The following is an 18291-nucleotide window of genomic DNA, read 5'->3' as shown; positions in this document are numbered from 1 at the left end:
TATGACTAATACTCTTTTTTTTTTCTCCAGAAATTCCTTTCCTGCTTCAAGATTTTAGCATTAATATGTAAATTCAGTAACAGGGCTATAACATTCAATTTGTTCTCTCTGTTCCATTCCTTACCCTCAATAATGACAATAATGCTGATAAGAATGATAAAATACTATGAGATAGGTACTACTAGTATCCACATTTTGAAATGAGAAAACTAAGTCCCAGAGAGATTAAATATAATGTGAGGCACACATAGAATACATTGCTTATTCTATGTGTGATAGTTACATACAGGTCTCTGCTTGTAGAACTCTAAACTTTTATGTACTGCTACACAATTGCTTCAACATTTCCTCCTCTGTTTCTTGGTTTGCACCATTTATTGCTATTTAGTGTTTCTCCTTGTCATCTTTGTATATCTGCATCTGTGATATGCATTTGCCACAAATAACCTACGTTTTATTATTAGGTAAAATGTTAATGCAAACACTATAAAGGAAATGATTGTATCACATTTATTTAGCCACCTACTCTACCCTTTAGAAAACTTTTAATAAATGTTCTCTGAGTTGCTGATTATTTATTTATTTACAAATACATTTCATATACTAGTCAGTTGATTTTGTTAGCTGCTGAAGATTTTCTAGGTGTGGAAAAAAGAAAAACAGGATGGTGCCTCTGCCTAGAGGATGCTTATTCCTTGGATAAAGTGGTGATCTACTCTTATTTGATTAGGCTATTTCAAGGATTCTTGACTGTCAATTGGAATTTTAATTGGAGACTTTAACAGCAAATAACCTTTATAGCATATGATTTACATAAATAGATATTCAACAATTTTAATATAGCCACATAATGAGGAGGTTATTCAGTGGGGTCTACTTCCTTCCCCAGCCCTAGTAGAGATTAAAGAGAGAATGTCCCATTGTCCTCCAAACTCCTCTGCCATACAAGTAACTGACTCTGGGTCCATTTGGAGAAACTTCTACACTCAACCACATAAACCTCATAATTCAGAGTAGTTGAGGCTGTATTCATTGTGGCATTCTTCTTCCACCTCATTAAATACCAGGCAGGCCCCTTTGATCAGGTCTCCATGGCAGTGCTGCCCCTGGTACACAAGTGTGTACCCATTTAGGAAAAGACAGTAACTGCTTACCTGCACAACCTAATTATATGGAGATATGGTCTCAGTCCTTTAACAGTGAGACAGAAACAGAAATCCAAGCTCCAGGGACAGGAAAGTCTACTGAGATCAAAACCCCTTCTTTTGCCCCACAAAAACAAAACAAAACAAAACAAAACAAAACAAAAAACCAAGAAAACCTGTAGTTAATTTCTGCCAATTCCTAGATAGGACTTAAAAATTAAACCTCTTCAATAAAGTATTTACATACTGCCTCTTACAAGGGCATATGGTAGTAAAATAAATGGATCTATATGCTATTCTGTACCAAGCATGAGTGCATGAAATTTTACCAGCTGGGAACCTTTATGGACAGAGACCCTGTGTGTGAACAGGCATAATTGCCTATACACATGCTTTTTATGGGGAGAAGAGATAGTGGAATATTTATTTTTTTCATTTGAACAAACTAACATAGGCAAAATTTTCTAGAGCTTAAAATTTCAGAAAAACTGCAAAGACTAACACCTGGTCTTGGAAAAATATTTACCTTGATGATTACCACCTTCCTGGTCAAGAACTGAGCCTGTCTTCTTAGAACGTTAGAGCTAGAGTCTGAGATCTAATGGAGACATTAAAGCTGATAAAAATAAGTTTCAATGTTAGGAGCCATTAAATGGGCAAATTAACCATTTGTTTTTATATGAGAAAAATAATTTATGTGTTGGCTGGTAGAAAAGATTCCAGTTATTAATAATACATTTAAAATTTACAGTAATTGCTGAAACAAAGGTTTTTTAATAGAAAAAGACAACTTCAATAACATTATATTTATGTATAAACACTTCCATTCTTTGTTTCCAGTTATTATATCATCATCACACATTTATATCCAGAATGAAAAGTAAAATAGCCCAAATAATAATTTTTAAAATTAAAAAAAAAACTGAAGCAAAAAACATGTTAAATGGTGTGACATGGAAATACTGCTATGTCTTAGCTGCAGTAGGGCTAGAATTCTGATCTCGTAGTTCCCTTTGCTAGATTCTTCCCATTGCACCAGGAAGTACAAATTTAAATACCACTGCCTCTCATTTGGCATTGGAGACTGATACTTTGACTCAGGCATTATTGAAAGTGAACTGGACTAATGTTTGATAGAATTGCCCTAAAGGCAAGAAATTATTTATCACTCTATCTTTAAAACAAGAACAGTGACCTGCTTAAGGGATGCTCAATCAATATTTATTGAATACATAAATGAAGGTGACCAGTGTCTGGGATGCCCACAAAACTGTTTGAAAAGAATCACAAGCACCAGGCAAGCTGCTGAAGATACTCCAGGGGAACAGATTACTGTATTCACTTGAAATGGAGGAAATATGAACAGCTGCTTATCTGCAAATGGTTCCTGCTTAGAATAAGTTTGTGTGCATTTGCAGGAACTTGTGAGTCTCCTATTGAAAATGAACAGGAGACTGATGAGTTCCCGGGAACACCCACAAATCTTCCTACTCATTTCTACTGCTTTGCAATGGACAACATTTTATGGCTGGTACCTTCCACTGTTGTCAGTTCCTCCAAGTTCTGAGTATAAGTTTAAGTTCTAAACAAGGAAGTAATGTTGAAAATGCAAAATAATTCAGTTAGGCAAGGGTTAACTTGTCCACTCAACATGGATGTCAGTAGGTTTACTTGAGGTGTTGAATCCCACCAAGGGAAGCATCTCTAATAGTCCTGATCTTATCTTTGTAAACTCAGCAGACATTCTACAAGACATAAATTATTCAATGAAATGAATGGTGCCAGTGCTTATGTGAAAGATAATTTATAGACCTTGCAGGAAAGGAAAAAATTAAAAATCATATGTATTCCCTTAAACTTTTTTTCTTGGTTGTATCTAATCAGGAGTTTAAGTATATAAATGTTGAGATTGTTATCTAATTTTTTTCTGAGAAAATATTTTCTCTGTTCATGTTCATGTGTAACATCAACTTATGTAATTAGTCTTTTTATATTTCAGGATTGTTCAATGGACCACATTTAGCATCAGCATTGATAGCATGAATCTGTTGTTAAATCTCATAAAGCAGCCTTTCATGAAACCACATAAGGTTGATCCTTTATAATCTGTTTATGGTCTTCTTTTAACAAGAGTGACAAATTCAATTACTGAAGGAGGAATATAGTAAATGTATGAAGTTGATGATGTGTATCCTACATTAGTGAGTAGCAGAGACTCTACTCATAGTCATACCTAAATACTTTCAAATTCACTTAGAAAAATGAATCATATCTAAAGGTTATATTTGTGTTAAATATTCTATAATAATTAGTGATAAAGTTCCTCTCAGTGTTTTTCTACATTCCTCAAAATGTTATCTTCAAAACATTCAATGAAGTTCTTACATGTAAGCTGGTAATACAAATCTTACCTTCATTTTGACCTGTCTTTTTTCTAAAACAATGTGCAGCCTTTAAATTTTTTGCAAATTAAATCCAGTTGGAGCTTATTTCTGTAGGATTTCTTCAATTGATTTTAATTATCCTGGCATAAATATGGAAAAATATTAAATCGATTGAAAGCATGTTTTCAGACAGAAGTATCGTCAATCACTGGTCAGTAGACCTTTCTGTTTCTCTTTCACAATCTAGGATTACAGTTCTCAGCCTTTTTGTTTGTCTTTTTGCCCCACATCTAAACCCATGATCCTTGTGTCTGTGTGATCACACTGCTGGATGTGGCTGAGATAAAACAATGTGTTGGCTGTATTTTATTTCCAGTAGCTTGTTGTGATGTCTCCTCTGAAAAGCTTATCTTACTAGAATGCAATAAGGTGGCATATATGTCACCCTGAACATGCCCTTCTTTTTTTTTAATAAAAGCAAATCATCCACTAACATTACTCTTTAATATTAGTAACAAATTACTGGCTTCTGCAACATGTCATCAGGTACAATCAGGAGAGAGTTGAGAATCACTTTTCTGGAATGTATAGTTCATCCTAATGCCAACAGTTTTTTTAAGACCAGGGGCAAGTTAGAACAATAGGCCTCATTCAAGGAGCTCATCTGACCCTTGACTTTCAATAACTAGAGAAAAAAAAATCCTTTCAATTTTTTTCCCACATGTAGATCAATAACATGGAACTTATATGTCAGCATCAACTCAGCAGACATCTCTATTGAGCATCTATTTTCAACTGTTCTGCCAGAGTCTGGGGTTAGAAACTGACAAGCGTGTTTGTATAGCTCTTTGTTCATCATTATTATAATGGACACAGCATTATATGTACAAGGTCCTGCCTCACTCGTTGGAAATCATACATTAGGCTTTCTTGTTCATACCCTGCTCTGCATTACCTTAAGCAATGAAATGTGGTCAACCCACTGGGGAACATTTCTTAAATATCTAAAATATGTTAGATCCACTTCAGTTTAAAAGCCTGCATCTCTAATATTAACTTGACGAAGCTCTAACTACTATTTCTATATTATTTCTCTCTCATTTAATGTTCTGTTTGAATGTATTATATTCAGTTTATCTCAAGTTGCCTAAGTGGAAACTCCTAAATGTGTCTCACAATTGCATGTTATCTCATAAAAGCAAAGTTTTAGTTTAGTATTGAATTCATTCTAGGATTCTGTAGATGACACTAGCTAGCCTCATTAGAATAAATTATGGGAAATTACATAGAGAGAAAAACAGACTTTCACCTGTAAAAGCGGGAAATCAAAAACAAACAAGCAGTACATATATTACTTAAAATTGGAAGAAAAGAAATAAGCAACAAAAGAAATTATGTGAGTAACTGTGGTATATTTTGTGCAAAAATCCAGTGGCCCATACTCTTTCCTGGAAGGTAAGACTCTAATTAAAGTTTCATTTGTCATTACCCTCAAATCCAAGGAGTAGCCCTGTCATTTTAATTAAATACCATTAACTGAAAGATTACTGCCTAGTATGACTTAATTGGCTCTTCAAATTACTCTTTCTAGAAGGAATATACCATTTTAGACCTTCCATAAAAGCTTGTTTTAAAAATTTTTTTCATAGTACCATTTTAGCTTAGATCCAATTTTTTGAGCCTCCATTTTCTATCCTAATTATGTTAGCCAATAATGTCTTTCAAATATATCAATGTTTTATCTTCTCTGCAATTAATTTTCTTCCCCTTCTCACTGTATATTTCATTTCTGAGTTTGAGTAAAGGCATGTCAGTACACTGAAAGCAAACATAACTCGTTGATTTAGTTAATTTATGAAAATTTAGGAAATTTAAAGCAATTCTAGGTTATTCTATTTATTTGTATCAATACTTAAAATAAAATTTTTGTTTTTTATTTGCCCACCATAGGAAAATAAATAGCCAAATATAACAACTGTATAGTTACTCTCACTTGTTGCTGAACAATTAATTACCAAGATAAAAGAGTATATTAGGCAAGTTCAATGGCGCTTCTAGGAACCTTAGTGAAAGTGGATCTGGTTTATGCAGTTTGAAACTCTCTGGAGAATTCAGCTGTTTGTACTGACTAAAAATAGTGATCCTAGTTTCTGCATGGCAACCTCAGATCCCTGACCTACAGGCATCCTGTTCAAATGTTCCACCACCTGGGAAGCTAAGGATAGCTGTTCTACCCCTCAGAAGTAGCAGAACCTTAGGCAACTAGAAAGTTCAGTTTTATTATTCATTGCAATTAGTTCCATAATAGCACCAGTTCTTGTAAAAATCTTTCCTAGTGCAACTACTACTTCAAATGCATTTTTTATAGATAGACTTTAATATTTAATTGCTATTGACACACTTTAACTATGCAATTAAATAGTGTTGTGTGGGCCTAAATGTTTATATGTTGTCATATGTACACACAGACTTTATATATATATATATAAACGTGTATATGTATGTATATATATATGTATGTATATATGTGTGTATATATATGTATATGTGTGTGTATATATATCTATGTATATATGTATGTATGTATGTGTATATATATATGTGTGTGTGTGTGTATATATATATATCTCCCTGCTGCTTCCAGGGAGTCCAGCCTAGTCCCATTTGCTGGCCAGGCCTCTCTCAGCTTCTGGTCGCCACCACTTCCACACTGCACCCATGGGGCAACCTCACCCGGACTGACAGGCACAAGGGGCACCGTTGCAATTATTAGGGACAATGCAGGGTCTCCCTGTGTCCCTCCTACCCACATGTGGGCAAGAGAGACTTTGAGTGCCCGGGAGTGCTCAGTGTTCTGAGAGGAGGGCCAGCCAAAGGGAGGGGACCCTGCAGTGCCAGCAGGGAAATTTTGATTTTGAGGTTTCTAAATGCATTAAAGTTATTTCTTTAGCCATATATATATATATATATATATATATAATATATTATTATATATTATATATATTATATATATAAAATATTATATATTATATATATTATATATAATATTATATATAGTATCTAAATACATATATATAGTATCTATATACATATATAGTGTATATGTGTGTATATATAGTGTATATATGTATATATATACAATTGCTAAAGAAATATATATATATACTGCTAAAGAATATATATACACACACACTATATATATATACACACACTATATATAATGTGTATGTGTATAGTTTTACAAATTTATATATTACAAATTTGTATATATATATATACACATACATACACTATATATATATATATATGGAAAATACATTGAGTTCTAAACCATTGACTTACTTATGTATAAACTTTTAAACACAGTCAACTTACAATTTGGGAATTATTTACAGATGGACAAAGGTCCGCAGGTCGATAATTGAACCTCTGTCCTATTCCTTGGAAGTAATCTAAATATTTGCTCTTTTTAGATAATTATTTTTTACATTTCAAAAATTCTAACAAAATTATATTCTTTTCGATAGTAAGTCTCCATTTGTTAACAAAACTCAGAATTACATTCACTTTCCCTGATAGTGATTATTTCGTGCTGATCAGAAGAACTGTTTGCTGATCAAATTGTAGCAACATCTGTGATGTGACTGGTTAATCAAATACAATTATCAAGGGTAATAGGTGGGCAGAGGGCTTGGATTATATATGCCAGACACAATCCATCTTTGGAAAAAAGAGCAGACTGAAAGTTTACAGGAGAAAAAAATATTTTCAAAACAAAAACTGTAAGGGAAAATAACAGTGAAAAAATATTCCCTGATTTCTTTTTATACTTTGTTCAACTAATTTTCGTTGAGTATTAGTTTGTTTAGACACTGCGCTATTCTCCAGGGATTAAAACTGAGAAAACTTAGCATGACACTTGTCTGTATGGAATTAACATTTAATGATTTAATATATAATAAGTATATTAATATAATAAACACAATATAACATATTCTAGCCGGGCGCGGTGGCTCACGCCTGTAATCCCAGCACTTTGGGAGGCTGAGGCTAGTGGATCACTTGAGGTCAGGAGTTCGAGACCAGCCTGTTCAGCACCGTGAAACCCCATCTCTACCAAAAATATAAAAATTAGCTGGGTGTGGTGGCGCATGTCTGTAATCCCAGCTACTCGGGAGGCTGAGGCAGGAGAATTGCTTGAACCTTGGAGGTGGAGGTTGCAGTGAGCTCAGATCATGCCACTGCACTTCAGCCTGGGTGACAAAGCAAGACTCCATCTCAAAAACAAAACAAACAAAAAAACCAAATATATATATATATATATATATATATATATATATATATATACACACACACATATTTTATATATATTTGAATTATTAAAAGTGATTAATATACACTGAAGGGAAATGTCAGTTGCTGTGACAGCATAGAAGGGAAATACCTGCCTTATTATGGTTTGAGTGGGGGAAATGAGGGCTTTCCTTGGGAAGTTGTGTTTGATCTGATATCTGACGAATTAAAGATTAACAGAGTGAGTGTGGTAGAAAGATGAGAATGTTCTAGGCAGAAGGAACACTATGTAAACAACCTGAGGTTAAAGACAATAGCAACACGTACAGCAATTTAAAAAGACTAGGCCGGGCACAGTGGCTCACGCCTGTGAGGTAGGAGAATCACTTGAACCCGGGAGGCAGAGGTTGCAGTGAGCTGAGATCACACCCCTACACTCCAGGCTAGGCAACAGAGCAAGACTCCGTCTCTAAATAAATGAATGAATAAATAAATAAATTAAAGAAGACTGACATGACCAGAGCACAGAGAGTGAAGGAGGAAGGAGTTTGGATTGAGCTCAACAGGTAGATAACAGCTCCAAATCATCTATAATCTTGTGGGCTGTGGTAAGGGCTTTGGTTTTTATTCTAAGGACTTGGGATGTTGTTGATGTGTTTGAATTGGGGAAGGCCAGTTAACACATTTGTGTATGTGTGTTTATTTTAAAGATCACTACAGTGTAAATAATGTATCAGAGGGAGCTGTGTGTGTATGTAAGGGACTAATTACAAGACTATTACAATAGCTCAGGAGAAGATGGTGGCAGTGAAGATTTAAAAACTACAGAAAAGAGACAGGATACATTGCAGAGACATTTAGGGAATGAAAATTAATTGACTTGGTGATGATGAGTATCAGCAGCAAAGGATAGGGAGGATGAGGTAACAATAATAACTACTACTTTATGGTGTGAGTCACTGAATATGTGTCAGTGTGGTCCACGAGGTGTAGGACAATGACAGACAACCAAGACTGTAGAGATAATCATGTGTGAGATGGTTATAATGAAAAGGTTGAGAGCCCTTATCTTAGAGGAGCATAGCTAATCTATTTTCTGAAATATTTCTAGTGTACTGATATTGAATATTTGCTAACTTGGTTCTATAGAAGGTCTACCACTCTCTAAGCAGGTAGAACTTTAATGCTGTTGTATTACTGGAGTTTACAGATGGCTACCATTAGTTAAATGCATACAGTGTTCTAGTAGCTGTACCAAATCATTGTTTCCAAACTTCTCAATAATCCTGATATACTAGCAAATGGCAGAGCTGGAGTTCAAACTCAGGACTGTCTAACCCCAGATTGCATACTTTGGACCATGTTGTGCTACATCTCTTCATCTATTGTGAATATGCTGTTAGACAGGTAATGCTGTTTTAGTGGCTAAGTGAATTTTAGTTCTCTCTTTTGCCCTTTGGAAGCTGTCTATACAAAATTAAATATACAAAGTTGAATATACAAGATTAAATCGTATCTGTGATTCAAGGAAATTAGAAGCAACAGGCAATTTTGGGAATTGAATTTACTGAACATAAAGAAAGTACAGATTTTGATTATTATTGTGATTATTATGACCATTGGTGTGAAAGTTACTAATACAGTGGTCCGCTGTGTGCTTCAGATTTAAAATGCTGTACAGGTAGATTAATGCAAAATATAATTGACAATATTAAAGCCTCAAAACCCACTGAAAATGAAAAGACAATAGTTAACATAAGAAAAAGGTTTTCACCAAATATTGCATGTTCTCGCTTATAAGCGGAAGCTAAATGATGAGCACACATGGACACGTGGTGGGGAACAACACATCCTGTGGCCTGGCAGAGGGCAGGGACTGACTGGTAGAAGGGAGAAGATCAGGAAGAATAGCTAGTGGATGCTGGGCTTAATACCTAGGTAATGGGATGATCTGTGCAACAAACCACCATGACACACGTTTACTTATGTAACAAATCTGCACATCCTGCACATGTAACCCTGAACTTAAAATAAAAGTTGGAAAAAAACAATGAAACCATACCGTACATTGAAAAAAAAAAAAAGGTTGTCAGTAATGTTAGCATTTTTCACTTAAAATACAGTCAAATTAGTAAGATAAAAATCATTAAAATATTTGTCAAATAAGTATTTTTCTGTATTTTTGAAAATTAAAATGCTTTCTTAGGAAAGTATTTGTTTCTTTTTGTGGATCACTGACAAATTTAAAATAGAATATTCTGACCGGCATGGTGGCTCATGCCTATAATTCCAGCACTTTGGGAGGCTGAGGCGGGTGGATCACTTGAGGTCAGGGGTTCGAGACCAGCCTGGCTAACAGGGTAAAACCCCATCTCTACTAAAAATACAAAAATTAGCCAGGCGTGGTGTGACATACCTGTAATCCCAGCTACTCAGGAGGCTGAGGCAGGAGAATCGCTGGAACCCGGTGAAGGGGTGGCCTGCCCCTCCACACCTGTGGGTATTTCTAGTCGGGTGGGATGAGAGACTGATAAAAGAAATAAGACACAGAGACAAAGTGTAGAGAAACAACAGTGGGCCCAGGGGACCGGCACTCAGCATACTAAAGACCTGCACCGGCCTCTGAGTTCCCTCAGTTTTTATTGATTATTATTTTCATTATTTCAGCAGAAAGGAATGTAGTCGGAGAGCAGGGTGATAATAAGGAGAAGGTCAGCAACAAACATGTGAGCAAAAGAATCTATGTCATAATTAAGTTCAAGGGAAGGTACTATGGCTGGATGTGCACGTAGGCCAGATTTATGTTTCCCTCCACCCAAACATCTCAGCGGAGTAAAGAATAACAAGGCAGGATTGCTGCAAACATGTCTTGCCTCTCACCATAGGGCGGTTTTTCTCCTATCTTAGAATTGAACAAATGTACAATCGGGTTTTATACCAAGACATTCAGTTCCCAGGGGCAGGCAGGAGACAGTGGCCTTCCTCTATCTCAACTGCAAGAGGCTTTCCTCTTTCACCAGTCCCCCTCAGCACAGACCCTTTACGGGTGTTGGGCTGGGTGACGGTCAGGTCTTTCTCATCCCACGAGGCCATATTTCAGACTATCACATGGGGAGAAACCTTGGACAATACCCCGCTTTCAAGGGCAGAGGTCCCTGCGGCTTTCCACAGTGCATTGTGCCCCTGGTTTATTGAGACTAGAGAATGGCGATGACTTTTACCAAGTATATTGCTTGTAAACATTTTGTTAACAAGGCACATCCTGCACAGCCCTAGATCACTTAAACCTTGATTTTATACAACACATGTTTTTGTGAGCTCCAGGTTGGGTCAAAGTGGCTGGGGCAAAGCTACAAATTAACAACGTCTCAGCAAAGCAATTCTTTAAGGTACAAGTCTTTTTCAAAATGGAGTCTCTTATGTATTTCCTTTCTACATAGACACAGTAACAGTCAGATCTCTCTTTCTTTTCCCTACACCTGGGAGGCGGAGGTTGCAGTGAACAAAGATCGTGCCACTGCACTCCAGCCTTGGCGACAGAGCGAGACTCAGTCTCAAAAGAGAGAAAAAAAGAATATTCTTCTAAGGGCAGAGTTCAATTTCATTCAAAGTTATTTACATTATCCCTAATACATCGTCAATAAAATCATTGAATCTTATAGCTGGCAGGAAACTTAGAGATAATTTAAGTTCAATGGCATTCTTTTATTTAAGTAAATAAGTATTAGGAAGACTAGGAACTGGTAGCTCAAAGAAATTTAGTAATTTATCAGAGTTATACACATAGGCTTTCTGATTCCCTGTCTAGCTCTTTCTACCACTTTTTTTTCTTTTTGTTTTCCTAGTCAATTGCCACAGTAGCAATTCCAGAATATATTTTCCTCAGAAATTCCCAAGTCCAACAATACTTTACATTTTACCCAGATCTACTCACAGTGGTGATGTTAAAGTCAACCATTTCTACACATACTTAGCATGTTAGCTCTGGGGGACATGGAACTCTACAAAGAGGGGTGTAGGTTAGGGTGGTTGTTTGCAAAAGTGTCAGTGTGAGCCAATTAAAAACTAATGAGGCAGAAATGCCTTCAACCAACTGGAACCCATAGATGATGTGAGAATGACTGGAAAAAAAGGCACAAATTTCAGTGGTAATTGGAAGAAACATGTAGAATCTAGCTGTGTATGAAATTTCCTGGAAAAGATTGTTAATATAGCTGACTTTTTAATGAGGTGTTTTGTGTCATTTGGGAAGGTTTCTTATTATCACTATTGAAGGATAATATGATGTGGTGGAGAATAAAAACCAAACTGAGCACCAAATTTTCAGTTCTAGTACTTATGGTTAAGTTCAGTGCTACTACATATTATCCATATGCCTTTGGACATGTCATTTTAGAATAGACCCTTGTTTCACTCTCCTATTAAAAAATAATACTAGAAGCAATTGTGAATGGGAGTTCACTCATGATTTGGGTCTCTGTTTGGCTGTTATTGGTGTATAAGAATGCTTGTGATTTTTGTACATTGATTTTGTATCCTGACACTTTGCTGAAGTTGCGTATCAGCTTAAGGAGATTTTGGGCTGAGACAATGGGGTTTTCTAGTTGTACAATCATGTCATCTGCAAACAGGGACAATTTGACTTCCTCTTTTCCTAATTGAATACACTTTATTTCCTTCTCCTGCCTAATTGCCCTGGCCAGAACTTCCAACACTATGTTGAATAGGAGTGGTGAGAGAGGGCATCCCTGTCTTGTGCCAGTTTTCAAAGGAATGCTTCCAGTTTTTGCCCATTCAGTATGATATTGGCTGTGGGTTTGTCATAGATAGCCCTTATTATTTTGAGATACGTCCCATCAGTACCTAATTTATTGAGAGTTTTTAGCATGAAGGGTTGTTGAAATTTGTCAAAGGCCTTTTCTGCATCTATTGAGATAATCATGTGGTTTTTGTCTTTGGTTCTGTTTATATGCTGGATTACATTTATTGATTTGCGTATATTGAACCAGCCTTGCATCCCAGGGATGAAGCCCACTTGATCCTGGTGGATAAGCTTTTTGATATTCTGCTGGATTCGGTTTGCCAGTATTTTATTGAGGATTTTTGCATCAATGATCATCAAGGATATTGGTCTAAAATTCTCTTTTTTGGTTGTGTCTCTGCCTGGCTTTGGTATCAGGATGATGCTGGCCTCATAAAATGAGTTTGGGAGGATTCCCTCTTTTTCTATTGATTGGAATAGTTTCAGAAGGAATGGTACCTCTTCCTCCTTGTACCTCTGGTAGAATTCGGCTGTGAATCCATCTAGTCCTGGACTCTTTTTGGTTGGTAAGCTATTGAATATTGCCTCAATTTCAGAGCCTGTTATTGGTCTATTCGGAGATTCAACTTCTTCCTGGTTTAGTCTTGGGAGGGTGTATGTGTCGAGGAATTTATCCATTTCTTCTAGATTTTCTAGTTTATTTGCATAGAGGTGTTTGTAGTATTCTCTGATGGTAGATTGTATTTCTGTGGGATTGGTGGTGATATCCCCTTTATCATTTTTTATTGCATCTGTTTGATTCTTCTCTCATTTTTTCTTTATTAGTCTTGCTAGTGGTCTATCAATTTTGTTGATCCTTTCAAAAAACCAGCTCCCGGATTCATTAATTTTTGAAGGGTTTCACAATTGCTTCAAAGAGAATAAAATACCTAGGAATCCAACTTTCAAGGGACGTGAAGGACCTCTTCAAGGAGAACTACAAACCACTGCTCAATGAAATAAAAGAGGATACAAACAAATGGAAGAACATTCCATGCTCATTGGTAGGAAGAATCAATATCGTGAAAATGGCCATACTGCCCAAGGTAATTTATAGATTCAATGCCATCCCCATCAAGCTACCAATGACTTTCTTCACAGAATTGGAAAAAACTACTTTAAAGTTCCTATGGAACCAAAAAAGAGCCTGCATTGCCAAGTCAATCCTAAGCCAAAAGAACAAAGCTGGAGGCATCACGCTACCTGACTTCAAACTACACTACAAGGCTACAGTCACCAAAACAGCATGGTACTGGTACCAAAACAGAGATATAGATCAATGGAACAGAACAGAGCCCTCAGAAATAACGCTGCATATCTACAACTATCTGATCTTTGACAAACCTGAGAAAAACAAGCAATGGGGAAAGGATTCCCTATTTAATAAATGGAGCTGGGAAAACTGGCTAGCCATATGTAGAAAGCTGAAACTGGATCCCTTCCTGACACCTTATACAAAAATTAATTCAAGATGGATTAACGACTTAAATGTTAGACCTAAAACCATAAAAACCCTAGAAGAAAACCTAGGCATTACCATTCAGGACATAGGCATGGGCAAGGACTTCATGTCTAAAACACCAAAAGCAATGGCAACGAAAGCCAAAATTGACAAATGGGATCTAATTAAACTAAAGAGCTTCTGCACAGCAAAAGAAACTACCATCAGAGTGAACAGGCAACCTACAAAATGGGAGAAAATTTTTGCAACCTACTCATCTGACAAAGGGCTAATATCCAGAATCTAAAATGAACTCAAACAAATTTACAAAAAAAAAAAACACAACCCCATCAAAAAGTGGGTGAAGGACATGAACAGACACTTTTCAAAAGAAGACATTTATGCAGCCAAAAAACACATGAAAAAATGGTTACCATCACTGGCCATCAGACAAATGCAAATCAAAACCAGAATGAGATACCATCTCACACCAGTTAGAATGGCAGTCATTAAAAAGTCAGGAAACAACAGGTGCTGGAGAGGATGTGGAGAAATAGGAACACTTTTACACTGTTGGTGGGACTGCAAACTAGTTCAACCATTGTGGAAGTCAGTGTGGCGATTCCTCAGGGATCTAGAACTAGAATTACCATTTGACCCAGCCATCCTATTACTGGGTATATACCCAAAGGACTATAAATCATGCTGCTATAAAGACACCTGCACACGTATGTTTATTGCGGCACTATTCACAATAGCAAAGACTTGGAACCAACCCAAATGTCCAGCAACGATAGACTGGATTAAGAAAATGTGGCACATATACACCATGGAATACTATGCAGCCATAAAAAATGATGAGCTCATGTCCTTTGTAGGGACATAGATGAAATTGGATATCATCATTCTCAGTAAAGTATAGCAAGGACAAAAAACCAAACACCACGTGTTCTCACTCATAGGTGGGAATTGAACAATGAGAACACATGGACACTGGAAGGGGAGCATCACACTCTGGGGACTGTTGTTGGGTGCGGGGAGTGGGGAGGGATAGCCTTAGGAGATATACCTAATGCTAAATGAGGAGTTAATGGGTGCAGCACACCAGCATGGCACATGTATACATATGTAACTAACCTGCACATTGTGCACATGTACCGTAAAACTTAAAGTATAATAAAAATAAAATAAAAATAATAATAATAATACTATATCGTAGGCATGACTCTCTGAGAGGTCTTAATAAATGACATAATGTATATGAAAATGTCTTAAAAATCGCAAATCACTGTGCAGACATTATTATTGAGAAGAGTAGCAATGCCACTGACTACTGCCATATTAGTCCATAGACCCAGCAGAGTTATGTTAACATGGTTTAAAAAATACTCGGAGTGAAAGGGTTTAATATTCTTGGTATACTTTTATTGTTAGTTGATTTTTTTTGGAAAATATAAAACATGAAATGTCAGAGCCAGTTGATTGATTAATACCTCTTCTGTTAAATGAAATGTGAATGGCTTTAACAAGGAAATGCAAAATGAAATGAAAACATAAATGTATTAAGCATTAGGACCAGGAAATATAAAGATCGATTAGAAAAACCAGAGGTATGTTAAAACACACACATTCAAATAAGAGAATCTTAAAAGTTAGTAAAGTCAATAGCACCTTTCTGGAATTATTTTGCCAAAATATTTAACCTGAATCTAATAAAAAGGAAACAAGCAGACAAATCCAAATTGTTGGATATTCTAAAAAGTAACAGGCCTCAAAACTTCAAAAATATCAGTTGTGATGAAAGGTAAAATTTCGACGTGGGGAAAACCATTGTAGGTTAATGGTAATAAAGGGCATGCCAATAAATGCAATATATGCCCCTTTTTGGATCCTGGATTTAAAAAATCCAGGAGGAAAATAGCTATAAAGGATACTCTTGAGACAATTGGTAAAGTGGTATTGTTATATTTCTTGAGATAATAGTATTGTAAACATATAGGTGAAAGTCCTTTTTTGTTAAGAAATTCATGCCAGAGTGTTCAGGATGAAATACCATGCTATTTACAACTTACTTTCAAATGGTTCTCACATAAAATATGTATAATTTTGTGTAGACGTACACAAACCCAGACATGCACGCACATATTCAGAAAGAGAGAAAAAGAGATGAAGCAGATGTGGCAAAATATTAGTGTTGTATACAGGTAAACATTTAGAGATGTAAGTTGTACTATTTTTTAAAAAATATTTTCAGTAGATTTGAAGTTTTTCAAAATAAAAAGATAGGAGAAAAAGTTAATTGAGGAGAACCAGAATCTATTTCTGAGGTTCTTGCTGTCAAAGCAAAGTAAATGTAATTTCTACTTGTGTTTTTCAAGGCCAAGCTGTGTCAAATCAGTAGTTCAGTCTATAATTCTCTCTGAGAGAGAAAAACATGATTGCTATGTTTTTGGTGTTCACTAGGCTTGCATCATGGTTTTAGTTAAGCCTTAGCATGGTATAGTCAACCAGTACAACCTTTCTCAGAAACAAGGACCTGTAGTGGGGCACACTATGGATATTTGTCACATCGTTGTTACACAACTAAATGAATAAAGTTTAAATGAAGAAATGTTGCGTAAAGCCACAGGTCATTTAACTACCAAAAGCTAGATTTGGGAATCCTTAATAAAGTCTCCATAAAAGTAAAGCATTTCACATCTAGAAAGGATAATGAGACTATCTAAAACCCAAAGTCTTCAGAGCTGGAAGGTGTTTTATGTATTTAAAAAAGCGTGGACCCTGAAGGCAAATTCTAGATTCAAAGCCTGGTTCCACCACTGAAGATTTTATGGATTTTGCCTAATGTACTTAATCTCACTGTGCCCTAGTTTTGAAGTATATAAAATAGAAATGAAAAATATATGATTTTGTTATATATAAATATAAATTTCCCCTTAATGTACTTTATATAATTACAGTACAAATCAAAAAATAATACATGTAATACACTTAAAAACAGTGCTCGATAGTTAACAAATGTTTGGTAAATTTTAGTTATTTTAAAGATGAGTAAAGTGTTTTTCTTCCATTATTTGCTTTAATTTATTTTGATTTTTTTAATCTCATAATATCCTTATCACTTACACAGTGAGATATATCACTTACGTAGAACCACTGAGTACATAGACCAGATGTACTCAAATTAATGGCCAATATTGGTTTTCTGTGAACTGGTCCAAATATTGGCTTTTAAAAGTAAACAATGGTAATTCCTTGATTTTCAGAAAGAAATAAAAAGCTAATAATGGCTAGAATATTCTCTATTTTAATCTCTTTATCCAAAAATATTTTTCTAAGTCTTCATGATATGGGCCAGCAGATGACCAAATTAATAAGTTTTTAATTGTTTAAGTCAAGCAATTTCCTGTTACTTGTCATTCTTCCTCAGCCATTACATTAGATTTACTTAATTGGTTAATGTTATTTATTTATGGATTCCTAAAATGTTTGTATTTTCAATTAGTATTAGATATTATTTATTGCATAGAGATATTCATTTCAGCTATATATATATATTTTTTTATTTTAGTTTTATGGTGGAATGTAAATGAGGTATTTACATTATGCTCTTCTACAGAGAGCTCATGTGTTCTAGGTACACAGATGCATAAACAGGTTTGAGAACTACTAAATAAAAACAGCTACTTTTTGTAGAACATCAAAAGAGAAGTAAGATAATTCTTCCTTTAGTCTTTTTCTGCAATTATATGAGTTCATAACTTGAATAATTAAAATAAAAACTGACATCCTTGGGGGGCTTTATAGTTACAAAGTTGTATCACAACCAACAGCCTTCATAAACCAGTTAATAAGGGTTGGCAAATTCCAATCAAAGTAATGCCAAGGTAAAATTACCTGAAAAGTTTGGCCAAGTCTAACTCCTGCCTTCTAAATTTTGGGTTCCAGATCTTAGCCATTTTATAGAGAAGTGTTTAGTCAAAACTTTCTTGAACAGTGGCTTGGTAGTTGTAATGAATTAGAAGAAATAGTTTCTTTTTTTTTTTTTTCTTTTTTTTTTTGAGACTGAGTCTCTCTCTGTCATCCAGGCTAGAGAGTGCAATGGTGTAGTGGCATGAGCTCAGCTCACTGCAACCTCTGCCTCCCCAGTTCAAGTGATTCTCCTCCCTCAGCCTCCCAAGTAGATGAGATTACAGGTGCCCGCCACCACTCCTGACTAATTTTTTG

The 18291-nt window shown here is 35.6% G+C and overlaps 1 protein-coding gene and 1 non-coding gene across 13 annotated transcripts in view; both read left to right on the top strand.

Annotated features, from left to right (window-relative positions):
* The window catches only part of LINGO2 (leucine rich repeat and Ig domain containing 2), a 1275985-nt gene that overhangs the window by 322097 nt on the left and 935597 nt on the right, over positions 1-18291 (top strand). The window lies entirely within an intron of this gene.
* MIR873 (microRNA 873) lies at positions 2550-2626 on the top strand. The gene has a single exon (NR_030618.1). It is a non-coding gene; the product is annotated as a microRNA 873 (primary transcript).

Source organism: Homo sapiens, chromosome 9 (assembly GCF_000001405.40).
Source record: "Homo sapiens chromosome 9, GRCh38.p14 Primary Assembly".
NCBI lineage: Eukaryota > Metazoa > Chordata > Mammalia > Primates > Hominidae > Homo > Homo sapiens.
Note: the sequence above shows the minus strand (reverse complement) of the source record. Positions and strands in the feature narration are given on the sequence as shown.